Consider the following 26,479-nt stretch of genomic DNA (forward strand, 5'->3'; position numbering starts at 1 on the left):
CTGATTGCATCTGTAATTAATGTTCCATGTGTGATTTGTCCTCAGAAGCCCTGAGCTGAGGAGGCACTTAATAAATATTTATTAATTGACATTCGAGTGGACTCGTGTATTGGACACACTTAATGTACTCCTCAGGTTCTCTCAGCCTCCCCTTCCCCCAGGCCCTCATCTGTGGGTTCTGCCTCCATGGGTGATCAACTTCCTTGGGCCCATGTGATTTTACTGCCTGAAATCAACCAGCTCCACACCCAGAATCTCTAGCTCCTTCTGGTGTGTGGGGGCTCAGATGAAATCCACACCATAGGATATGGGATCTGGCTTCTCCCTGGCTGGGGAAGGAACTGGATGAGGCAATTGATAGTACAGGGGAGTTAATCTCCCAGTGTGTGGACTTGGGCCAATGGGACGCAGGAGATTGGAGGAAGCCTAGCAGACAAGAGCCTTCTCTCTTTCTCCCTCTAATTATTACTCTTCAACACAGTTACTCCACACAGCCCATCTGGGGACACTCCATGGAGCTGATGAGTATACCTGCCAGGCAATGGCCTCTGTCTACACGGCATGCTGCATTGCGTCCCATCCTGCTTGCCTCACTTCCCCTTGACCACACTCTCACTGCCCAAAGAGTGCACCTTTCAAATAAAGCCTTTGCCCTTAATCCTTGCCTCAGGCTCTGTTTTCTTGGGGACTTGGGCTAAGACAGGTCATGTGAACGTTGCACAAGCCAGATAACAGGGAGGAAAAGGCTTTCTGAATTGAGACCATGTATGAGACAAGGGCTGGGATTGTTAATAAGCCCATTCAGTGAATTTTTTTTTTCTTTTGAGACGGAGTCTCACTCTGTCGCCCAGGCTGGAGTGCAGTGGTGCAGTCTCGGCTCACTGCAACCTCTGCCTCCCGAGTTCAAGCAATTCTCTGCCTCAGCTTCCTGAGTAGCTGGTTTTACAGGTGCCCGCCACCATGCCCAGCTAATATTGTGTGTGTGTGTGTGTGTGTGTGTGTGTGTGTGTGTGTGTGTGTTTTGATGGAGTTTCGCACTGTTGCCCAGGCTGGAGTGCAATGTCGCGATCTCAGCTCACTGCAAGCTCCACCTCCTGGGTTCACGCCATTCTCCTGCCTCAGCCTCCCGAGTAGCTGGGACTACAGGCACCTACCACCACGCCTGGCTAATTTTTTGTGTTTTTAGTACAGACAGGGTTTCACTGTGTTGGCCAGGATGGTCTCGATCTCCTGACCCTGTGATCCGCCCGCCTCAGCCTCACAAAGTGCTGGGATTACAGGAGTGAGCCACTGCGCCCGGCCTAATTTTTGTATTTTTAGTAGAGATGGGGTTTCACCATCTTGGCCAGGCTGGTCTTAAACTCCTGACCTTGTGATCCACCTGCCTCGGCCTCCCAACGTGCTGGGATTACAGGTGTGAGCTACCACACCTGGCCTCAGTGAATTTTTATTGAACTGTTTGATTAACATGGTCATGCCAACTACCACCTTGGAGCCCAGGTCATCAGAAAATCAGAGGCACCAGGCTGTGGGCCCCATGCACCAGCTCACTCCCCTGGGCTCCAGCTCAGCCCAGCCTGATAGCCCAAAAAGTCTTCCTCTCAGCCGTTTTGTGTGTGGGGCTGTGTCTTCTTTAGCAGCTTGCAAATTCCAGCCATGGAAACCCAAGCAAGGGCAGAGAATCAGAGCAGATTCTCTCCTTTACCTTGTGCTATATTTTAATAAATTAATGCAGTTGTAGTTATGTAGAAAGAGATTTGCTCTCGGGTAATGAGGACAACATGGCAGCCTAACTGCTGGTGCATGAATTGGGCAGGCAGGAGGCCTTACCCTCAGGGACACCTGCTCTCTCTTAGGTCGGCCAATCCACAACAGGGCGCTCATCCAATTTCTGTCCACCTGAGAGTCCACGAGGGCACACCCAGCTGTGCTCCTTCCTGATCAGGTCCCACTTACCACCCACAAAAGGGGAGAACATGGCTCTTTTGAAGGATCCTCATTGAGGGCTCTCATGAGTAAATTATCAATGAAAGTTGATAATTAAAGCAACTACCTCATTTGTTGATAATCCAGCAACAAGTGAGGTAGTTACATTAATATTAAAAGCAGTAACACACACCTTAGATTTGTATGGCATTGTGTTGTTTTAAAAATTCTTTTCCAGGTATTGTGCAGTCTGATTACAATGGCACAAGCTACAGCTCAAGCAGCCTTGAGCTAAGAATCGTTGAATAGTAGCAGTGCCATAGGGTTCAATGTATTCGGCAGCCGACGTCCAGATTCCAGGGGAAAGGCAACGTGATTACACAGAGGCTTTGTGAAGGGAAGGACTAAAGGAAGAGATGTAGAAAGAGGGGAAAGGGCCGGGCGCGGTGGCTCACGCCTGTAATCCCAGCACTTTGGGAGGCCAAGGCAAGTGGATCACGAGGTCAGGAGTTTCAGACCAGCCTGATGAAGGTGGTGAAACCCCGTCTCTACTAAAAATACAAAAATTAGCCGGGGGCAGTGGCAGGCACCTGTAATCCCAGATACTTGGGCGGCTGAGGCAGGAGAATCTCTTGAACCCAGGAGGCGGAGGTTGCAGTGAGCTGAGATCACGCCACTGCACTCTATCTAGCCTGGGCAACAGAGCAAGACTCTGTCAAAAAAAAAGAAAAGGAAGAAAGGAAGAAAGGAAGAAAAAAGAAAGAAAGAAAGAAAGAAAGAAAGAAAGAAAGAAAGAAAGAAAGAAAGAAAGAAAGAAGGGAGGGAGGGAGGGAGGGAGGGAAGGAAGGAAGGAAGGAAGGAAGGAAGGAAGGAGAAAGAATAAGAAATGGGCACTTTGGGAGGCCAAGGTGGGCGGATCATGAGGTCAGGAGATCGAGACCATCCTAGCTAACACGGTGAAACCCCGCCTCTACTAAAAATACAAAAAAATTAGCTGGGTGTGGTGGTGGGCGCCTGTAGTCCCAGCTACTTGGGAGGCTGAGGTGGGAGAATGGCATAAACCCGGGAGGCGGAGCTTGCAGTGAACAGAGATCATGCCGTCAAAAAAAAAAAAAAAAAAAAAAGAAGAAGAAGAAAAAGAAAAGAAATCGGCATGAAATCAAAGTGGCCAACAAGGACCACTTTTCCTATGGAGAAGAGTTCAGTGTGGTTTTGAGGTTTGGAATTTGATCTGTATTCTTTCAACCAACAATGAACAGATTTAAAAGTAGGTATTTGACAAGTATTTGCTCACTGATGAACAAACACAGAGGTCAACAAAAGAGGGTTACCAGCACCCCAGAGTGAAAGAATGGAGAGTGGGAATGCGGCTTGTTTGTCTAAGCAGTGGTGGAGCTGAAGCCACTTTGATTTCCAGTATGGAATAATTCGTCAGGTGACCTGGGATGAGAATGTTAACCCTCTTTTTGTTGCTATGAAAAAGGCGGATAATATCTATTCCATACAGGGCAGCACTAAAGGAGGGTAAACATGATTGATCACTGTGACTTTGAGGAAGGAAGACAGTATAATAAATACTAATTATAATAACCATTCCTGGCTTCTAAGAAAAATGCCTTTTAAAAAAGGAAGGAAGGAAAGAACAATCCCTCCAACAGGGGGCCTCCTGGGACAGGCTTGGTGTGTCATGGCCTCGTGCCGGTCCGAATAAATCCAAAGGGGAAAGGATTCGGTGACAGTTCACAACAGCAGGAGCAGGCAGAAGACCTTCGCTTTTTTCAACGTTTTACATAAATTAATTTCATGTTTCAATTGCCACATTATCACAACTTTAGATTAATATACATGGGGCCAAGACTTGCAGATAATTGTATATTTCTGCACTTCACGTAAATGCTAGCTATAAACATTTAAAATGTAAAATGTAAAATGAGCGGTGGCTCATGCCTGTAATCCCAGCACTCTGGAAGGCCAAGGCAGGCTGAGGCAGGCGGATCACTTGAGGTCAGGAGTTCGAAACCAGCCTGGCCAACATGGTGAAACCTCATCTCTACTAAAAAAAATACAAAAATTTGCTGGGCAGGGTGGCGTGCGCCTATAATCCCAGCTACTCAGGAGGCTGAGGCAGGAGAATTGCTTGAATCCTGGAGGCGGAGGTTGCAGTGAGCTGAGATCGTGCCACTGCACTCCAGCCTGGGTGACAGAGCAAGACTCTATCTCAAAAAAAAAAAAAAAAAAAAAAAAAAAAAAAATATATATATATATATATATATATATATATATATACACATACATATATATATACACACACACATACATATATATATATATGGTTGGCCTACATATATATATACACATACATATATATATATATATACACACATATACATATATATATATATATATATATATATATATATATATATATATATATATATGGTTGGCCAGGCACTGTGGGTCATACCTGTAATCCCAGCACTTTCAGAGGCTGAGGCAGGAAGATTGCTTAAGCTCAGGAGTTTGACACCAACCTGGGCAATATAGTGAGACCCATCTCTATAAAAATTACAAAAAAAATTAGCCAGGCGTGGTGGTTCATGCCTGAAGTCTTAGCTGCTCCGGAGGCTGAGGCAGGAGGATTGCTGGAGTCCAGGACGTCGAGGCTGCAGTGAGTCATGATTGTGCCAGTGCACTCCAGCCTGGGAGACAGAGCAAGACCCTGTCTCAAAAAAAAAAAAAAGTAAAGTCCATAAACTAGCTTCATATAAAAACTCCGGTATATACAACGACAGATATTTCATCATCTCTGGCCCCTAGCAAATAGTTGCATCCTTGAGTGAATCATTTCAGCTCTCTGTGACTTTGTAATTCCAATCTTATATCCTGTACACTGCCTAGTGCCTTCTGGAAATAAATGGGAACATGCCTGAACTTTCCAGATAAATTTACCAGCCCTTTAGCCCTTCCCCTCTCGGCTCTCTGTTTCTTCCCTGTTTCTCGAGAACACGCACATGGTTTACAGCGTGCTTTACAGCGTTTCAAGCCCAAACAGAACACGCTCCACAGGGAAGGGGCTGATTGGTTTAGTTTTCAGGCAGCCCCGCGAGGGGTGGTAATTGACACTTGAACAATGACATGTTGCATTCCTTCATATCGCAGCAGTAATTGAACACACATGAACCCCCTGCACTGGTGACCCTGGAGTGTGCCACACACCTGGAAATAGTGAGGTTCAATTAATATGTCACCGCCACTAAGCAGCTACCAGTGAGAACCACCAGTCAGCTGCCACAGCCCAGCGGTCACAGAACAAAGCAGAGAGCAATGCGGGGTGAACCCCGGGAGCTGCTGCTCCCCTGCAGAGCTTCCCCGGACTGGCCCCTAAAATCTGGTTTTCCCAAAAAAACTTACTCACTTTTAATGACTCCAATTAATTTTATCTAACAGCTTTGTTCACCTCTCCCTCAAAGAGTTATTTTTGCATTAAAATAGCAAAATGCTCAACTAGAAGGGGACGGCAATGACCCAGCTAAATTTTTGTGATGACACTTTTAATATAAAAAACAGATCAGAAATGGAATATGATATGAATATGAATATGAAAGGCGGGATTCAAGCCAAGGAAATAAAGAAAGAATGATGGATTCCACCTCTTTCATTCAGTCCCTTGAGTATTTGTGGTGTGCTGACAGTAGCCCGGGGTTACTGCAGAGATTATTGCAAGCCTGGCAGCTGCTCTTCCAGAGCTCACAGACTCGGGGTGATAGCACAATGATGTGGGACAAATCCCCCGAGGCAGAGAATGGGGCACCCAGGGCAGCCTCATCAGTGCCCTCCCCTCATCTGGAAATCTCAGGAGACTTCCTGGAGGAAGCTGCATCTAAGCTGGAGAAGCAGCAGGAGTGAGGAGGGGAAGAGAAGGGAGAGGGGAGAGGGGTCCAGGCAGAGGCCAGCACTGCCAAGGCTGTGAGGCCAGAGAGAAAGTGGCAACATGAGGAGGGGGTGCAGAAGGAAAAGGGGAGTTTGGAAGCCAAGGTCAGAAGTGGGCACTTCCATTTCAGAGCCTAGTTACACTTTTTCCAGAACCAATAGCTATTCTCCTCCTTAAACACACACACACACACACACACACACACACACACACACACACAGAGAGAGAAAGAGCGAGAGAGAATATTAGCATTCAAACAAGAGTAAAGCTACAATTTTGGCATATTCTTGGAAGAGAGGAAAATGGACATTTCATTTTATATTTAATAAATTCCATTTAATTAATTAACAAAACCTGGCAGCACTCCCCGAATGAATGAAAATCTGCCAAATCTGAAGGCCAACAACGCTGTTGCACAAAGTCTGACAACTTGCTGTCCCTGGCCACACCCCAGCCCAGATCTCCCTGCCAGCCTTGTCATTTTGTCGTGCGTTTGCTGGCAGTGGCACGCAGCGGGTTACTTCGGGTCTCTGGGCTCAGGCTTCCCCTGTAAGGTGAGGAGCTGTGACTTAGGTATACTGCACTTTAGCACTGGGATTGGCCTCCAGAGAGAACAGGGGCAATCCGGGACACCCCGCTGGTCCCTCTGTGACCCACTCTTGGCCCTTAAGCTCCCTAAGGAGGGAGGTCTCCTGTCTATACAGGACCAATCTAGGCTACTCTAGACATCAAGATACTGTAGGGTGCTTCCAGTTAGGCAGGTGTTTCTCTCTCTCTCTCTCTCTCTCTTTTTTTTTTTTTTTCAGACAGAGTCCCTCTGTCACCCAGGCTGGAGTGCAGTGGCGCAGTCTCGGCTCACTGCAACCTCTGCCTCCTGGGTTCAAGCGATTCTCCTGCCTCAGCCTCTCGAGTAGCTGGGATCACAGGCATGCACCACCACGCCCAGCTAATTTTTGTATTTTTGGTACAGATGGAGATTCACAGTGTTGGCCATGCTGGTCTCGAACTCCTGACTTCGTGATCTGCCCGTCTTGGCCTCCCAAAGTGCTGGGATTACAGGCATGAGCCATCATGCCCGGCCAACATGTGTTTATCTCTACACTCTCCTCAAATCTCACTAAAATGACAGTAAAGGCAAAAAAAGGAACACACTTGCAGAGACAACAAGGTCAGGAGAAGAAACCGTGGAATATGAGAAAGCTTAGCAATATTTTGAAGGGAGAACAATGCATGGGCTAATGGTCTCTGGCTTAGCGGGCTGGAGAGAGATGAGCCCTGCCAGCTGGAGTGAGGTGGAGGGGGTGAGCCCTCAAGAAACAAGATGATTTCTGATCCAGAATCACAGAAACACTCAGAAATCAGGGGCTCCATATATATATATATATATATATATTTTTTTTTTTTTTGACATAGGGTCTCACATTGTCACCCAGGCTGGAGTTCTGTGGCATGATCTCGGCTCACTGCAGCCTTGACCATCCAGGTTCAAGTGACCCTCCTGCCTCAGCCCTCCAAGTAGCTGGGTCTACAAAGGCACACCACCACACTCAGCTAATTTTTTTTTTTTTTTGTATTTTTAGTAGAGACAGGGTTTCACCATGTTACTCAGGCTAGTCTCAAACTCTTGAGCTCAAGCGATCCGCCCGCCTCAGCCTCCCAAAGTGCTAGGATTTCTGGCATGAGCCACGGCACCCGGCCAGCCCCAGGTATTTCTGAATGTGAGAGTACACCAGCAAGCTGCGGAGGAGGGTTGGTTGGAAGACTGTGCAGGGGAAGGCAGACCCTCAGGCCCCTCCTGGGTGCACCAGTGTTGCTGGTGCTGCTCACCTGATCTCTGAATGTCTGCTGCTTGCCCTCCCCTTCAGAATACTGGATATTTCCTCTCTGACCAGGTGAACCAGAGAGGCTCAGGGCACTGGATCCAGCTGAGGGCAGCAGAATGAAAAGCATGCTCACTGAACAGGGAGATAAACCCACCCCATCCAATGGTGTTGAAAAGTATGGTGTAGTCTTGGAGGGACCAGTGTTCCCAAACTTGCAGGATATCGCCGGAACCCAAACTGAAATTATGGTTTAATGCCTCTCAAAACTGGTGAGCCCACTGTTCTTCTCACATGTATCTCCATATGTGGACGTGCACCAGAGCCTTTTTCTACCCTCTGAAGGAGAGAAGCGTTCTGTTTAGGGGCTCGTAGAAGAGAGGAACATGAGAAGGCTGAGAAGAGTGGAGGACCCAACAGAGAACTACCATCTCCAGTCTCCCAGGCTGGGTTGAGCCTCAGCAGAAAAGCGTGTTGACCTCAGCACGGGCAGTGGAAAACCAGACATCCAATGTGTTTGCAAGAAATATTCATTTAGATTCACAGAGCTCTTGGTCTAAGCCTAGGATCTTGGTAGGAGAGGGAGGCGGGGGTCTTTGGCCTCTGGGATTCATTGTATCAACCACCAGCAATCTTTGGAATGGGCCAGCTGCTCCCTAGGCCAGAGCTGTTAGGGCTGGAGGCGGGGAGGCCATTTGGACAGTTGAAGAACTCTGTAAAACTACCTTATGCACCTGCAGGTAAAGTCACATTTTGGGGTTATCAAAGTCTAAATTAAATGGTACATAGTATAATTAGTGCTGGATTGGGAAAGAGAAGAATTGCTCATTATATACCCACCGCTGTCATTATTGGGACAAAACGATCTTCCACTGGCCCCACCAGAGCCCACCTCTGCAAGGGCCACGGCCAGCATCCTCACCCACAATTGCTGCCTCACTCGTGGGTTCTTTCACGTGGCTGTGTGGACCATGTAGGTGACCTCCCCCGTGCTCTCTCTGAGCCACTGTAAAAAAACTGATTCTTCAGTGCATGGGAAGTTCCTGTGGCCCTGCCGGTTCTCGGACCCGGCCTTGACCCGAAGGGCACTGATGTTCTGCTCAAGTGCAGAAGGGCTGGATTTTGCAGGGTCAGGAAATACATTTGTGCAGTGACTACAAGATCCCCCTGACATCTTGGTTTGTGGGAAATGCAGATTTTCTTTTTTCTGTAACTTAAATTTGGCTCTCAAGGCCCCGTTTCTGCTGGTGGTGGGATACACTGGTATTAATCTTGCCAAGTCAAGGTCAACTCCAGCTATTTGTTATTTAAAGCATAATCCCTTTGAAGTAACTCTTTAGACAATTCATCGTTCTCAGATCAATTCCAGGAGCTTCCCCTCCGTGTCTGCCCACTCTGGTCACCCCCTTTCTTGGCACTGGTGATGGCACTCCTCCAGAAAAATGCCACCCTTGTTCTGGCAGGATCTGACTTCCAATCCAGCCCACAGCCTATGACCCCTTGTCCCTCAGCTCAGGGACCCATGGCTGGCATTGTCAACACCTCCCTGCCAGGCACCTGGAAATACTCACTCTTTGCCCATATCCCATTGGGCTAGGGCCATCTAAGACCCCATTGAGGGCTGGGTGCATGGTTCACCTTCTTTCCTGTCCTCCCCCAATTCCTGGGGGCTTCAATGTTTTGTTTTAATAAAGAGCCCATTTCCTCACTCCTGGCTTTGTGGAGCAACCATGAGACCCCAGGAGGGACCCCAGAGTCTGACTGTGTACACATGGGGGCCATATGCAGGACTTAGATCCATCCTTCACCCAACGAGATTCAATTTCGAAACAGCTCAGATATCTCCTCCCTAACAAGTTTAGCCTTCTCCTTGTCCTGTCAAAAGGGAACAGTGTCCTGGTGCCTACTTGATCTGTCAAAAAATCTTTTCCTGGCCAGGCACGGTGGCTCACGCCTGGAATGCCAGCACTTTGGGAGACTGAGGCACGTGAGTCACTTGAGGTCAGGAGCGCGAGACCAGCCTGGCCAACTTGGTGAAACTCTGTCTCTACCAAAAATACAAAAATTAGCCAGGCGTGGTGGTGCACACCTGTAATCCCAGCTACTCAGGGGGCTAAGGCAGGAGAATTGCTTGAACCTGGGAGGCAGAGGTTGCAGTGAGCTGAGATCGCACGACTGTACTCCAGCCTGGGTGACAGAGCAAGGCTCTGCCTCAAAAAAAAAAAAAAACTTCCTCATTTTTTCTCCTTCTTCTTCCCAATTCTGTATTCCTGTTCTGTAAAACGAAGGGGGATTTATCTTTCTGATATCTAATCAGATGCACAAATAGGACAAAAGTCTTGAGCCCAAAGGAGAGCAAGGTTGGATACGCAAGTTAGATAAGATGGGAGAGGACATCTCTGCAAATGGTGGGACACACAGAAAGTAGCAAAGGCCAAATGATAGTGGGTGACAAGCAAGGAGGAGGAATCCAGTCAGTGAGAAAGAGCTGGCAAACTTCAGCAGAAACACGGCTGAAGCACAGCGCTGGCAAAGGGGACTCTGGCAGGGTATGTGTGCTTGGGACAAATTAGCCTTCAAGTCTACCGTCTCTGAGGGGACACCAGCTGAGGGGAAGCTGACCCTGGCTGCCAGCCCCAAGCTTTGGGGAGGCCTGTCCTGGGGGTCAGTGGTCCGCTGACTCCCCACCGTGCCCACCTCCTCGGCTTCCCAGCTGCGGTGGCCCAGGGAGGCCTCCTGCCATGCCCACCCCCACCAAGCCCCATCTCAGCGCTCCACTGGGGGCTCTTAGCCCAGCCCCCATTGCACCTCTGACGGCAGGAGCTGCAGTGACTCTGGCACCTGGGTCTGGCCTGGCCGGCCCCACCGCTGGGAACTGCAGTCTAGTCTAGAAGGTCCAGGCAAACTCTGCCCAGGAGAGACAGAGGAAGGAGCCCTCAGAGAGCTGCTCTCCCTGTCTCCCCATCCCACAGCCTGTCCCAAGCATCAGTGGTTAAAGGTGGCTTCTCCTGAGATGTCTCATGTGCCCGATGTCCTGGGGCGCTGTGGCCAGCTGAGCAAAGCCCCGCCTAGCACTGACACCCCTCCTTTTCTGCCTCCCTTTCCTTCTCCCCTCACTCTGGCTTCTCTGGGGTTGCACCAACCACCACCCCAAAAAGGGATTCACACATAAGCTTTGCTGCAGGCTCTTTTCTAGGGCGCTGAACTAGCTTTGCCTCTGGAAAATGGTGCCTCTCTGCGGAGGGGCGGGAGGCTGCCTTCTGCAAATTATCACCTCGTTAATTTTCTGGAATGGGTGTAGAGGCATATCATCTGTGTTCATTTCCTTCTACAAACTGGGTGGCTTAACACAACAGAAATGTATTCTGTCTCAGTCCTGGAGGCCAGAGGTCTGGCAACAAGGTGTACACAGGGCTAGGGCAGGATCCTTCCTTGCCTCTCCCAGCTTCAGGAGCTCCTGGCACTCCCTGGCATTCCTGGCTTGTGGTTGCATCCCCCTCCTATCTCTGCCTCTGTGTTCACAGCGCCTCCTTCCCTATGTTTCTGCCCAAGCTGTCTCGGCTTCCCACTTCTAAGGACACTTGGGGTGCCATGTGGGGCCCAGCCAGGTAAGCCAGGATGATCACCTCACCTCGGGATCCTTAACCGTCACATCCTTTCTCCCAACAAGGTCACATTCACAGGCTCCGGGGATTAGCTTTGGGTGGGGGGCATTTTTCAATCTAGCATACCATCCTCACTCCCCTGGCTGAAATGTGCAGCAGAGAAAGAGAAAAGAAAGAAAAACAAGTGAAATGCCAACCCAACAATTCTAAAATTCCGAGACGCATGAGCAGGGAAAAGTGCGATGTTTCCATTTCTAGTGCCTTCTGCGCCACAGGAGAGATCAGACCTTCAGTCTTCATATCGGCATGTGTTATTTCTTCCTTGGGAGAAACAAAGCGAATCATCCAGTATTGCCGAGTGGAACGGCGCACACGTGGGAGGGCTGGGAGTAGCTGGGTGTCCCCGGCTCCTGGTGAGAACCCCCGCCACCCAACCTCCCCCAGCCTCCCAATGGCTTATTTCAACACCTTTGGGCCAAGAAAGCTGGAGTGGAACTGTCAGTGCCCCCATTTAAAACCCATTTGTGAATGGCTCATAAATCACACCCTTAGAAAACTCACTCCTCATTATAATTCTGCAGAGAAAAACTCTGTTCAGCAATTGCAATAAATGTGAGAGTGAGTAGGTTGCTTTTTCAGCAGGGGGTCATATGGAAGAGGGTTTTGCATTATATTCTTCAGTCTTAATAAAAACAGGAATAATTACGAGCATGTCTCCAAATGTACAAAGTCTCTGCTGTCAGACTTCACAGTGGCCGCTGAACACAAAGTGTGATTTCGGAGAAGCCAGAAAGGGTCACAATCCCCAAGACCTCAACCTTGCTGACCCAGTGAAGCAACTAGGTTAAAGTCCCAAATTCTACCATTAGAGCTTCCTTTCTTTGGGTTTGCCCCTGGTCAAAACATTAACATTGCTGGAAGGAGTCACATTTTAAGCACGGTTTTGTTTATACCTTTATTCTGGCATTTTCTTTTCTTTTCTTTTTTGTTTTGTTTTTTTTTTTTGAGACAGAGTCTCATTCTGTCATCCAGGCTAGAGTGTAGTGGTGTGACCTTAGCTCACTGCAACCTCCACCTCCTGGATTCAAGCGATTCTCCTGCCTCAGCCTCTCGAGTAGCTGGGACTACAGGTGCACACCACCATACCTGGCTAGTTTTTGTATTTTTAGTAGAGACGGGGTTTCACCATGTTGGCCAGGCTGGTCTCCAACTCCTGATCTCAAGCAATCCACCTGCCTCTACCTCCCAAAGTGCTGGGATTACAGGCGTAAGCCACCAATTCTGTCATTTTCTAAGAACAAGATGGTTATAGTGCACGGTGATGCACCAGATAGGATAAGGAGACATCATTGAGGGTGAAGATGAACAATCACAGTCCGGGCTGAGTCCCAGGCTATGCCTGGAGAAGGCCTCTGTGAATCTGATTTTATAGAAAACCTAAAATGTACTAAGTGCCTACTCGACATCCAGGGCTATGTTCTTCCACATAGAGTGTCTCATTTAATCCTCACATTAACCTGTGAGGTAGGCACCAAAGCTCCTCCAGGTGTGAGTGGGATGGGATCTAAAAGGTCGCTCCTAAGTCCACTGTTCTAGTTCAAAATGACACCAAATGAGTTAAGGGTGTATGTCCATATAAAGTTAAGTTTTACAAAAGAACTGTAAGTGATAACTTCTATTTCCAGACCATGAAGAACTAGGAGCTTGAGGGACTGACTTACTTCCCAACAAGATCTCAGACATGACATATTCCTGGAGGTGGAAGTCTTCAGGGATGCCATGAAATAGACAGACACAGACAAAGGAAAGCTGAGCCTGAAAGAGGATGGGGGAGGTGCAGGAGAGGAAAGGAGGTAGATGATCGCTCCTGTGACCAGAACTGAACAGGAATCACCAGTGACCAGGGCCTCCACACTCAGGAGCTGGTTGAAAGGCAGGGAGCTGGGGCCGGAGTAACTAACTGAGAATCGGAGTGATCAGAACTGGCCTGAACCTGTGGCAACAGGCCAGGGGGTCAGGTGGTCCCGAGGCAGGGTCCCATGTGGGGCCTGAATCTGAGATTCTCACTCTATGAAAAATTATTTGAGAGATTCTAAGGTGATCATGAATGGAGGAGAGGGGGCTTCCCCAGCTATTGGCACAAGCAGAGGTAGTCTCTTTGGAGGAAACTTTTCCCCAAGTTAGTTTTGCAGGAATCCCACAAATTAAAATTATGCATGACTTCACAAGCAAAAATTGACAGATACTTGGGAAGGCAAGTCACTATGAATGACAGCTAACCGGGGCAAGAAACATTCCATCCCAAGAACAACAGATGTTCTGTCATTGCGACAAAATGCAGAATAGTTAAGTATACAATGTTTAAAGAAGAAAGAATATACTTATAAAGATGAATAAACAAGAAGAAACTATGAAGCATGAATGGATAGAATCAGGAAAAAAACATAATTAAATTGTAAAAAATGTATTACTATAACTATTAAATTAAAAAACTGAATGGACAAGTTAAACAGTTGATTACACTGTTAAGGAGGGAATTAATGAGCTGGAAGATATATTTGAATAACTTATCTGGAATTCAGCAGAGAAATAAAGAGCTGGAAATGTGAAAAATATAAAGGATATGGAGACTAGAATGAGGAGGTCTAGCATGGGGCTGGGAAACAATGGCTCATGTGCCAAATCCTGCTGGCCACCTGTGATGGTTAATACTGAGTGTCAACTTGATTGGATTGAAGGATACAAAGTATTAATCCTGGGTGTGTCTGCGTGGGCATTGCCAAAAATGATTAACAGTTGAGTCAGTGGGCTGGGGAAGGTAGATCCACCCTTAATCTGGTGGGCACCATCTAATCAGCTGCCAGTGAATATAAAGCAGGCAGAAAAACGTGAAAAGGAGAGATGGGCCTTTCTCCTAGGCTGGATGCTTCCTGCCCTGGAACATCGGACTCCAAGTTCTTCAGTTTTGGGACTCAGACCTGGCTCTCCTTGCTCTTCAGCTTGCAGACGGCCTATTATGGGACCTTTGATCGTGCAAGTTAATACTTAATAAACTCCCCTATATATATATATGTATACACACACACACACACACACACACACACGCACGCACATATATATATTCTGTCCCTCTAAGAGAACCCTAATACACCACCTGTCTTTATAAATAAAGTTTTATTGGAAAACAAACTCCTTTGTTTACACACTGCCTTTGGCTTCTGTCACACTGCAAGAGGGTTGAGTAGAGTTGAGAATGTACATGTCCTTCAAAGCCTAAAATATTTACTCTCTGGCCTTTTACCAAAAAAGTTTGGGCCAGTCGTGGTGGCTCATGCCTGCAATCTCAGCACTTTGGGAGGCTGAGGTGGGAGGATTGCTTGAGCCCAGGAGGTCGAGACCAGCCTAGGGAACATAGTGAGACCCTGTCTCTACAAAAAAAAAAAAAATTAAAAATTAACTGGGCATGGTGGCACACACCTGTGGTTCCAGCCACTCAGGAGGCTGGGACGAGAGGATTGCTTTCAGTCTGAGAGGTTGAAGCTGCAGTGAGCCATGATCACACCACTGCAGTCCAGTCTCAGTGACAGTGAGACCCTGTCTCAAAAAAAAAAAAAATTTCCCCTGCTGTAGTCTATATCTGACTGGGAACACAGAAGGAAAAAATGGAGAGAAAGGAAGAGAGGCAATATTTTAAAAGGTAATGACTAGATTTTCCCAAACTAATTTAAAACATGAAGCCACATATCCAGAGAGTACAACATATTCTGAGCAGGCTAAATAAAAGACAGTCATACTGCTGTTCTAGGTTGAATTGTATTCCTGCAAAAGATGTTGAAATTCTAACTCTCAGCACCTGTGAATATGACCTAATTTGGAAATAGGGTCTTTGCAGATGTAATCAAGTTAAGGATCTTGACATGAGACCATTCTGGATTTGATATGGGATCCAAATTCAATGATTGATGTCTTCGTACAAAAAAAGCAAAGAGAATGAGAGATCAGTGGTATGAAGACACAGGGAAGAAGCCACGTGAAAACAAATCCTGCCCAAGCCAAAGAGAGTGTGGGGCCACGAGAAGCTGAAACAGGCAGCAGGAGTTCTCCCCTAGAGCCCTTGGAGGGAGCACGCCTTGATTCTAGACTCCTGGCCTTCAGAGCTGTGAGAGAATAAACTTACGTTGTTTAAAGCCACCCAGTTTGTGGTGATTTGTTACGGCAGCCCCAGGGAACAAACACAGATTTTGGTGTTGATGTGGGAGAATAAAAAATGATTCCAAGTTCTTTGTTATTCCCCACACTAAAGAGATACTATTTATTTCCCCTCCTCTTGAATCTGGGCTGGACCGTGACTGTTTTAACCAACAGAATATGCAGAAGTGATGCTGTATTAGTCCGTTTTCATGCTGCTAATAAAGACATACCTGAGATTGGGTAATTTACAAAGCAAAGGGGTTTAACTGGCTCATAGTTCAGCATGGCTGGGGAGGCCTCAGGAAACTTACAATCATGGCAGAAGGGGAAGAAAACATGTCCTTCTTCACAGGGCAGTAGAAAGGAGAAGAATGAGTGTTCAGTGAAGGGGAAGGCCCCTTATAAAACCATCAGATATCATGAGAACTAATTCACTAATACGAGAACATGATGGGGGAAATTGCCCCCATGGTTCAATTATCTACACCTGGTCCCTCCTATGACATGTGGGGATTATGGGAACTACAATTCAAGATGAGATTTGGGTGGGGACACAGCCAAACCATATCAGGTGCCATGCCAGGTCCAGGCCCCAGCCTTCAGAAGCCGTGGCAGAGTCTGCATTTACACTACTGGGAGCCGGGAGCTGCCACAAAAGAAGTGCAGTGACCCTGCTGAAGAGACCATGTGGAGAAGCCAGAGGAGAGAGAGAGACCATGGGACCACATGGAGGAAGGCAGGCCCCCAACTCCAGCTAAGCCTGGCCTTCTAGATGCCCCTTCTTCCCACCTCTTTGGAACTGGCTTTGAGTTTTGCCTCACTCCTGTCCCATTCCAGGGCCTGGTTCTCAGGACTGGAACCCCTAGTGCTTTCTGGGTCCTGGAGCACTTCCTCAGAGGCAGCTCAGAATCAGCCAGTCCTGCCCCAGGGCTTCTGTTACATGTGGGGAACCATCTTGGATGCCTCTGCCCAGTGGAGCCACTGCAGCTTCAAGCAATGTCATCTGCAGCAGAAGAGCCACCCAGCTCATCCCAGTCAACCCACAGAATCATGAGGCATCTATAACCTTGAGGAAGAAGAGACTCTTACAGATATAGGCGTTGTAGGCAAAACCAGGTGTAGATAAATGGCTGGTTCTTGGTTGGCTATTCTCAGCAGATGTGCTGATAATAGTAAATTCTTTTTTTTTCTTTTTTTTTGAGACAGAATCTGGATCTGTTGCCCAGGCTGGAGTGCACTGGCACGATCTCGGCTCACTACAACCTCTGCCTCCCACGTTCAAATGATCCTTCCACCTCAGCCTCTCCAGTAGCTGGGATTACAGGCGTGCAGCATCATGTCCAGCTAATTTTTGTATTTTTTGTTTTTGTTTTTGGAGAGAAGGGGTTTCATCATGTTGCCCAGGCTGGTCTCAAACTCCATGGCTCAAGCGATCCACCTGCCTCGGCCTCCCAAAGTGCTGGGATTAGAGGCGTGAGCCACTGCGCCCAGACAGATAATAGTAAATTCTTTAGATACATATGAGTAGGAGCTTCCCAGAGAATCCAGCCAAAAGTTAACCCTTAGGTCTTAGTGTCATATGACTCTAATATTGTTAACACACACAGGAAGGCCTTCTTCTAAATAGTAGTATTAATAAACACTTTTTTTTTCTTTAGACAGTTTCGCTCTTATTGCCCAGGCTGGAGTGCAATGGTGCAATCTTGTCTCACTGCAACCTCTGCCTCCTGGGCTCAAGTGATTCTCCTGCCTCAGCCTCCCAAGTAGCTGGGATTACAGGCCTGCATCACCACGTCCAACTAATTTTTTGTATTTAGTAGAGATGGGGTTTCACCATGTTGGTCAGGCTGGTCTTGAACTCCTGACCTCAGGTGATCCGCCGGCCTCGTCCTCCCAAAGTACTGGGATTACAGGTGTGAGCCACCATGCCCAGCCTAAACACTTATTTTTACAACTAAGTAAATAAATCTTACCAAATAAAACATCAAATTATCAAATAAAACAAAACATCAAATTAACAAATACTGAATCAAATCAATCATAAAAACAAACTCATCGTTAAATACGTGCCTTAGGGCCAGAAACTTGACCACTCTGTGGAACTGTAGAGACAAAGTGGTACTCACTTATGTAACCATGCACACCTCATCCCAGAGTCAGAAATAAAAAACACAACATACCTGAGACAAACAAACAAAACAAGGTCACCTAAAATGAGGAAAACCTTGTGCCTTTCCTGTAAGTTACTCACTCCTCAATGAAACCTTTACCCCAGACTTTTGCAATGCTGCTGCTTAAGGATTTATCAGGACCTTTGTGGATATGACAATTGTGTGATGAATTTTGTTTCTCTGCCATGCACAGACTACTATAAACTCAGTGGCCTTTGTAATTTTTGCGTTTGTTTACTTTAAATGCCTGTTTTATTTGATGATCCATTTCTTCCAGCCCCGGAACATCCTTGCAGATCTTTTTCAAGCAAACTTTTTTTTTTCCCCAAATGCTTTTGTCTCAAAATCTTCCATTCCCAGAGACTCTGAACTCAGAGAGGGCAGGCACAGCAGGGGGTGGGGGTGGGCACTGCATGGAAATAGGAGAATTAAGCGAAGATCTATGTCCTGAATAGCCATGTACTCCCACTCAGCTCCCAGAACATTGAAAATGAGGTGCCTTTTTTCCAGGCAAGAAATTGGAGGATTTGTCTCTGAAGAATCTAAATGGCCTCAGTAAAAATACTGCTGAGATTAACAGTTAGGGCCCCCGGTTAAAACAAACAAACAAACAAACAGCCCTCCAATCACCCTGCAGAGAAGCCCAACCACCACATGTCCCAGTAAACTCTGCAGACCTTCCCTGCAGGCTCCTTCTCTTACAGGAGAACTCTCCAGGATCTTTCCTTTTTTGTTGGTTTGTTTTGTTCTCTATCATATTAGACACCATTCTCTTACACAGGTTACAGACATTTTTCCCCAGCATTTTAATATGAGATGGTCTCTCACGCGACAGGCAAAAAAACAAACAGGAGAAAAGACAAATGTGGGCAGCAGATGAGAAGCTCAAAAATTAAAAACAAAATTTTTAAAGAGAATACAGTGCATCCATAAAACAAGAACAGAATGATAGAGAAAAAGAGGGCACAATCAGAGAGCAAGAATGGGCTTTTAGAAAGTAACGATGCATTTGCTAAAATGAAAAATTCAGTAGTCTGATTGGAAGATGGAGTGAAAAAATTATCCCAGAAAGTAGAACAAAATGACAGAGATAAACCAGAGGAGAAAAAGATAAAAAGAAAAGCAAAAAGTCAATTCAGAAGCCAACATCCAACAACAGGTGGTCTAGAGAAGACAGATAATACAGAGAGGAAAAAAAATTAAAGAAGGAAGACCCCAAACAACTGCCACCACTGAAATGCATGATTTTCCAGACTGAATAGGCCAGAGAGTACCCAGCACAATGAATGGAGCAAAGCCCCCATAAAGATTGTTTCAAAAAAAAATCTTAAGGTCTTTCACAGGGAAAAAATAGTTTCTATTTCTAAAAATTAGGATGATATCAACTTCTCAACAGCAACATTGATGCTGGAAGACAGTAAAGCAACAGCTTCAAATACAATTTCCAGACTCTAGAATTATATAACTAGACAACAATTCGAGAATGAATGTAGAATGAAGACACAGATTGGCAAAATCCCAAACATGTGGACTCCCATGCATCCTTTCTCAGGAAGCTAATTGAAAATGTGCTTCTCCAATAAATGATCCAAGTAAGACACGATGAGAGACAGAGAGAGAGAGAGAAACTAACACATGGGAGGCATGAGGTATCACAGCCCAGTAGAGTCTGATGGGGAATGGCAAATATATGGTCTCAAAGTCACCCACAAAAATACTTACTAATTACATTATTATTATTATTTTAAAACAGAGTCTCACTCTGCCGCTCAGGCTGGAGTGCAGTGGCACAATCTCAGCTCACTGCAACCTCTGTCTCCCAGTTTCAAGCAATTCTCCTGCCTCAGTCTCCTGAGTAGCTGGGACTGCAGGAGTCCTGCTAATTGTTTGTATTTTTAGTAGAGATGGGATTTCATCATGTTGGCCAGGCTGGTCTCATACTTTTGACCTCAAGTGATCCGCCTGCCTCGGCCTCCCAAAATGCTGGGATTACAGGCATGATCCACCATGCCTGGCCGCTTACTAATTACATTATATTTGTGAGAGGTGTCCATAACTAAAAAAAAAGAAGAAGAAGAAGAAGAAAAGAAAATAAACTTACTAATTACAAAGAGAATTGAAACAAATTCCCGGTGGGGAAGACAGATATCACCTTAATCAAATGAGGAAATTTAACATCAATAGTAATAGGGCCAATGAAAATCATGTACACTTGAAAGGATGCAATGAGAACACAGCGCTCTGGCCAGTGATGCCTCACCTGGATCTAATCACAGGCAGCAGCGGACAGAAAGGCAGAGGGGCTGCTTCAGAGCAAAGGAAACTCATGAGACATGACAGCTAAATGAAATACATGATCCGGGATCGGATCCTGGGTCAGGGAGAAAAAAGTTATAAAGCACCTTGGTGGAAAAATTAATGAACTTCAAAGATTAATTCTGGGTTAAATAATAGCAGTCCTTTGACAGGAAATTTTCTAATTTTAATAATTGTATCAAGGTTATGTAAGAGAGTAATCTTGTTCTTAGGAAATATACACTAAAGTATTTGGGGATAAAGGGTAAAGGATATCTCCAACCTATTTTCAAATGAATCAGAGAGAGAGAAAATGATTCATCAAATGGGAGGAAATGTAAACAATGTGTGAATTTAGGTAGAAGTACATGAGTGTTCTTGCAACACTCATGTAAGTTGGGAATTATATAAAAAGTTACTAAAAGGCTCATTCATTTTATTATTATTTCATTTCCCCCCAAAATTTACATTTTATAGTTAAAAATGTGGTATTACGCCAGGTGCAGTGGCTCACACCGGTAATCCCAGCACTTCGGGAGCCCAAGGCAGATGGATCACCCGAGGTCAGGAGTTCAAGACCAGCCTGACCAACATGATGAGATTCCCATCTCTACTAAAAATACAAAAAAATTAGCCAGGCGTGGTGGTGGGCGCCTGTAATCCCAGCTACTTGGGAGGCTGAGGCAGGAGAATTGCTTGAACCAGGGAGGCAGCGGCTGCAGTGAGCCGAGATAGTACCATTGCACTCCAGCCTGGGCAACAAGAGTGAAACTCTGTCTCAAAAAAAAAAAAAAATTGTGGTTTTACTAAAGGAACCAATGAACTAAAAGGCAATATAACAGAAGTTAAAGAGCATCTACCCAGAGGTAGACAGTAGGCTAATTAACCTCCCTATACCTCACCTTCCTCATCGGTCAAAGTGACTAATAATAGTACCTATACCATAAATTTTGAGGATTGTATAACGTAAAACGGGTAGCATCCATACCACCTTATTAAAAAAGCTCATTTTAAGAAACATACCCTTGGGCAGGGCAGGGTGGCCCACGCTTCTAATCCTAGCACTTTGGGAGGTCAAGGTGCGTGGATCGCTTAAGCTCAGAAGTTTGAGACCAGCCTGGGCAACATGGCGAAACCCTGTCTCTACAAAAAATACAAAATCAGTCAGGCATGGTGGCATGTGCTGGTAGTCCCAGCTACTCAGGGGGCCGAGGTGGGAGGATAACCTGAGCCTGGGAGACAGAGGTTGCAGTGAGCTGAGATTGTGCCACTGCCCTCCAGCCTGAGCGACAGAGCCAGAACTTGTCAAAAAGAAGAAAGAAAGAGAAAGAAAGAAAGAAAGAAAGAAAGAAAGAAAGAAAGAAAGAAAGAAAGAAAGAAGAAAGAAAGAAAGAAGAAAAGAAAAGAAAAGAAAACTGTTATGGACATAACCCCTCTCTTGTTCTGGTTGCTCAGATCACAGCATGCAATGTCAATATTGTGTGGCTTATTTGTGCAGTTTGTTCTTTTATATGCCTGATATTCAAATTTTGTTAAGGATCCTATACAGAAAGAAGGTGACAAGAGCCCCATGTTGCTCTGACATGTCCCACTATTTCCCAAGACCTATCTCGTTTTTTCTTTCTTTACATTTCAGAAGCATCCCTGCTCCAAGAGAACAAAGGCAAGCTCATAGACACATCCTTCTTTGTAAACACAGTAAAGAGGAGGGGAAAAAATAAAAGGCACATCCCTCAATAACTGGGCTCTGGAAGGCAATACACTGGAGATAGTTACCTGTGATCTGGAGACATGAACCTAGAATAGAAGAAGTGCCATATTAGATGTCTATTTCCATCTATGAAGAAGTGTCTTAGCAAACTTTGTATTAGGAACAACTACACTAGCTGGATAAAATACAAAAGACAGCATTCAGAGTGCCTGAGAGAACAAACAAGACATCCAGATTGGATCCTGGAGAGGTCCTGAGGAAACACATTGAGGTGAGCCCCATTCTAGCCTCTACTTTTTCCCTCGGAGCATCTGCCGATTTGAAGTACAGGCCACAGGGGATGAATAAAAAGCAGTAGCGGGGAACTTGCATCGGTCTCATTGAGAAGGCTGGAAAGAAAAACTATTTGAATGTAGAACTACCAAGGCAGCCAGTACTTGAGGGGCAAAAATTCAGGGGAAGGGGGGACTGCAGAGATATGAGCTTCACATTCCATGTGGCTTTTGCTATAGGTATTTCCAGCTCAGGACTGAAAAACAAATAGCTGCTGTAAAGAAATTACAAATCAAAACAACAACAGTCTTATTGACTTCAAAAATGTACCCCCAAAATTCACGTCTTCCCTAAGTCTCAGAAAGCGATATTTGGGCATGTAATAAGTAAGCATCTTGAGATGAAATCTTCCTGGATTTACAGTGGTCTCTAATCCAATGACTGGTGTCCTTATAGGAAGAGGTGATGACACAGAGACACACAGAGGGGAAGATGTGGCCAAGGAGACAGAGATTAGAGTGAGGCAGCCACGGCCAAGGAGTGCCTGGGGCCAGGCTGGGAAAGGTAAAGAAGGATTCTTCCATGGGGCCTTCAGAGGAACCATGGCCTTCCTGACACCTTGATTTCAGAGTTCTAGCTTCCAGAACTGTGAGAGAATAAATTTCTTTTTCAAAAACCACCCCATTTGTGGTAATTTACTTACTTCAGCTCCAGGAAACCATACAAGTCTAATGGTGCTGAAGATATAAAAATCATCATTCAGGGCCTGCCAGAGAAGAGGGACCCTGGTAAATACCCCAGGCTTTCAGTTGTGATCCCAGAAGGACTGTGCCCCAGTATAAAGGAAATCAGACTTAGTCTTGACACAAGACTAAATTTTCTCAGGGATGAAAAATACCGCACCAAAAAGTGCATACAAGACATGCAGAGCCAGCATGAAGATCTAACATAGGTATAATTGCAGTGGAGAAGAGCTGAGAGGATGGGGACAAGCAATATTTGAAAAGATACTAAACTGGAAAGTTTCCAAAACTGATGAAAGACATCAAACCACAGAATCAAGATGCTCTGCCAACTCCAAAGAGGATAAATTATTTCTAGGAAAATCAGTAAAACTGATGAAAACCAAGACCAAAAAATATATTTTTTCTTCCCCAGCTTTATTAGGTATAACTGACAAATACAAATTGCGTATATTCAAGGTGTACAACATGATTTGATATACACTAATATGGTTTGGCTCTGTGTCCCCACCCAAATCTCATCTCAAATTGTAATCCCCACATGTTGATGGAGGGGCCTGTAATCACCAGGTGTCAAGGGAGGGGGGTGATTGGATTATGAGGGCGGTTCCCCCCCATACTGTTCTCGTGATAGTGAGTGAGTCTCACAAGATCTGATGGTTTTATAAGTGTTTGCCAGTTCCTCCTTCATTCACTTTTGCTCTCCTGCCTCCTTGCAAAGAAGGTGCCTGCTTCCCCTTCCACCGTGATTGTAAATTTCCTGAGGTCTCCCCAGCCGTGTGGAACTGTGAGCCAATTAAACCTCTTTCCTTTATAAATTACCCAGTCTCAGGCAGTTCTTTACAGCAGCATGAGAACAGACTAATACACACACATACACAGTGAATTTATTATCACAACCAAATTAATTAACATCAGAATTAGTTACCGTGTGTGTGTGTGTGTGTGGGTGTGTGTGATGTGGCACTTAAAATCTACTCTCTTTAGTGTGGGAGGGGAGTGAGGGATGAGAAATTATCTAATAGGTACAATGTACAGTATTCAGGTGATGGTCACATTAGAATCCCAGTCGTCACCACTACACAATATCTCCATGTAACAAAACTGCACTTGTACTCTCTAAATCTATAAAAATAAAAATTCATAAAATAAGATAAAATTCATAAAATCTACTCTTTTCACAGATTTCAAGTGAAAAATATAATATTATTAACTTTAATCACCATGCTGAACCCCCAAAAGCTTTAAAATAGCTAGAGAAAAGAAAAAACACATTACCTTTAAAGGAGCAAAAACGTAAGACCAACAACTGACTTTTCAACAAGAGCAACAGAACATGGTAACTAATTCTGATAATGGAATATAAAGATACCTATTTAATGGGGGTGGGGAGAGGAGAGGAGTATCTACCTGCCACCAACATCATACTTAATGGTGAAATACTGAAAGATTTCCCCTTGAGACCAGGAATAAGGAAAGCATGTCTGCTCTCACCATTTCGATTGAAAATTGTATTGGAAGTTCTAGTCCATTGCACTAAGTCAAGAAATAAATAACAGAAAAGAAGGACTGTAAAGGATAAAATTGTAATTCTTTGCAGACAGCATGGCATGCTCTCTGGGCTACTTGGCAGGTGTGAGCCCTTCACCCATCTCTAGTGCAGGTACCAGGAGTGTTCTGGCACAGAGATTATGATCCTTTGGGGGTCTACCCTATGTGCTGGGTTGAGGAAGCAGATGCTTGGGAAGGAGAGATGCCTGGCTTGATTTAGCTGCTTCTGGCCAGGCACAGGGCATTTGTCTAGGGGCTGGCAGGAAGGGGAGCCTGGCAGCTAGTGGAGTGCACATGGGTGCACTGAGTTGCAAAGTGGGGCCCTTCGTAATGCAAGGGTCTAGATCTTCCATGAAAGTATTATATCCTCATGCCCAAGGGAAAGTGGCATTAAATAGCAACAAACAAAAATCAAAACCACCATCACAAGTGAAGAGAGAAACTGAAGAAAGAGAAAAAAATGTGCTTCGAATTTTAGTACCTTCAATGTCACTTGTTCCTACTTCTTGAACAAGGGTCTCACATTTTTATTGTGCACTGGGCCCTCCAAATGATGTAGATTGCCCTGCTCCCCTTTGTACCTCAAGGCATAGCTTAGAGCAGAGTTCAAAAAAGGGGAGACACAGCAGGAGTCACATAGCTGAGACCATCCTTCTGAGGCCGGAAGATCATGGAGCTGGTGAAGCCTGCTCTCCAGCCCCATGCCTCACATGCCTGTGATGCACTCCTGAACACCTCCCTGCACTGGGCTCAGATGGAAGAAGTCTGAACAACAGATGCGCACGTCAAGGGGGTACCCTTGGAGAACTAAACATTCTTCTTTTAATACCCTGACTTACACTTTCTCTTTGAGATACATTTTTTCATTTGTAGATAGTTTGGTATGTACATCTAAAACAGAAGGGCTCTTTCCTAAAATATGTAATTACAATATCACTGTCGATCATATTTCTCAAGGATGAAAAATACTGTACTAAAAAAATTGACACTTGGCCGGGCGTGGTGGCTCACACCTGTAATCCTAGCAGTTTGGGATGCCGAGGCAGGTGGATCACTTGAGGTCAGGAGTTCAAACCAGCCTGGCCAATATGATGAAGTCCCATCTCTACTAAAAATACAAAAATTAGCCAGGGGTGGTGGTGGATGACTGTAATCCTAGCTACTTGGGAGGCTGAGGCGGGAGAATTGCTTGAACCCAGGAGGCAGAGGTTTCAGTGAGCCAAGATCGTGCCACTGCACTCCAGCCTGGATGACAGAGTAAGACTCTGTCTCAAAAAAAAAAAAAGAAAAAAAAATGACACTCGTGTCTTGATACCATACAAAAAAAATTGACACTCATGTCTTGGTAACATCGAGTATCCAGTCAGTCTTCACATCTCCCTGATTTTCTTATACATTTGCCTGAATTAAAATGCAAACAAGATTCCCACTTTGCATGTGGTTGATATGCCTCTCAGGTGTCTTTTCAACTATGGGTTTCCTTCCTCCCCACTCCCTTTTTTCTCCTTGCCACTCATTTGTTGAAGGAACTGGGCTGTCTTTCCGATAATTTCCCGTATTCTAGACTTGCTGGTAGCATCCTATGACACTGTTTCACGTATTCCTCCATCCCTGGATTTCCTGAAAACCTGTGGTTAGGATGTCTAGTTAGGGACTGAATCAGATTCACAGCTGATGTTTTTAGCAAGACTGTTTTATAAGGGGTATGTACTCCATCAGGAGGCAAGTGAGATCTCCAAATCACTCTGGAGAAACCTCCTTCTCTCTCTTCCCTTCTCCCTACGTGCCTCTCTTCCTCCCTTCCTCTCTCTGTTAGCAGTCGTTGATGATAAGCTGATCATTGCTAAGTTCTATAATCCCAACAAAGGTTTACAAAATGCTTTATCCTCATTCTATCCACCCTTCTTTTATGCTTCCATTAGAATATTTCCATAGGGACAAATTTTCCCTTGTTAACTATCTATTTAGCTATAGACATAATTCCAATGTTATATTTGCAGCATTTCATACGTGTTCTCCCTGGAACTTTATTCCCTACTAGGGTATAAAGAGGAAAACTGAGCAAAAACAAGGAGCCCCTGTGGATACCTATTTCCTTAATTCAAGTAACTGATATTCCACCTATATATCTTTCAACTCAGAATATGTAGGGCCATGCAAGTATTTTGTTTATTTCATGGTTATTCCTGTAGCCTTTTGGCATTTGACATTGTAAGTCACAATCATGATTAATACATGAGCTCTGGGAAACTTTGATTGATA

General features: G+C 45.4%; 1 long non-coding RNA gene across 2 annotated transcripts in view, besides 2 other annotated features; it reads right to left on the reverse strand.

Annotated features, from left to right (window-relative positions):
- Window positions 1-26,479, reverse strand: part of LOC105369308 (uncharacterized) — a 66,311-nt gene that overhangs the window by 25,795 nt on the left and 14,037 nt on the right. The gene's annotated exons all lie outside the window — the stretch shown is intronic.
- Window positions 646-1,147: an enhancer, noted in NCBI's record as "H3K4me1 hESC enhancer chr21:38031419-38031920 (GRCh37/hg19 assembly coordinates)". NCBI's record gives its function as "activates a minimal SCP1, AML or CMV promoter by ChIP-STARR-seq in primed H9 embryonic stem cells {active_cell/tissue: H9 hESC(primed)}" and the evidence as "EXISTENCE:reporter gene assay evidence [ECO:0000049][PMID:30033119]".
- Window positions 1,148-1,647: an enhancer, noted in NCBI's record as "H3K4me1 hESC enhancer chr21:38031921-38032420 (GRCh37/hg19 assembly coordinates)". NCBI's record gives its function as "activates a minimal SCP1, AML or CMV promoter by ChIP-STARR-seq in primed H9 embryonic stem cells {active_cell/tissue: H9 hESC(primed)}" and the evidence as "EXISTENCE:reporter gene assay evidence [ECO:0000049][PMID:30033119]".

The sequence above is a fragment of the Homo sapiens genome, chromosome 21 (assembly GCF_000001405.40).
Source record: "Homo sapiens chromosome 21, GRCh38.p14 Primary Assembly".
NCBI lineage: Eukaryota > Metazoa > Chordata > Mammalia > Primates > Hominidae > Homo > Homo sapiens.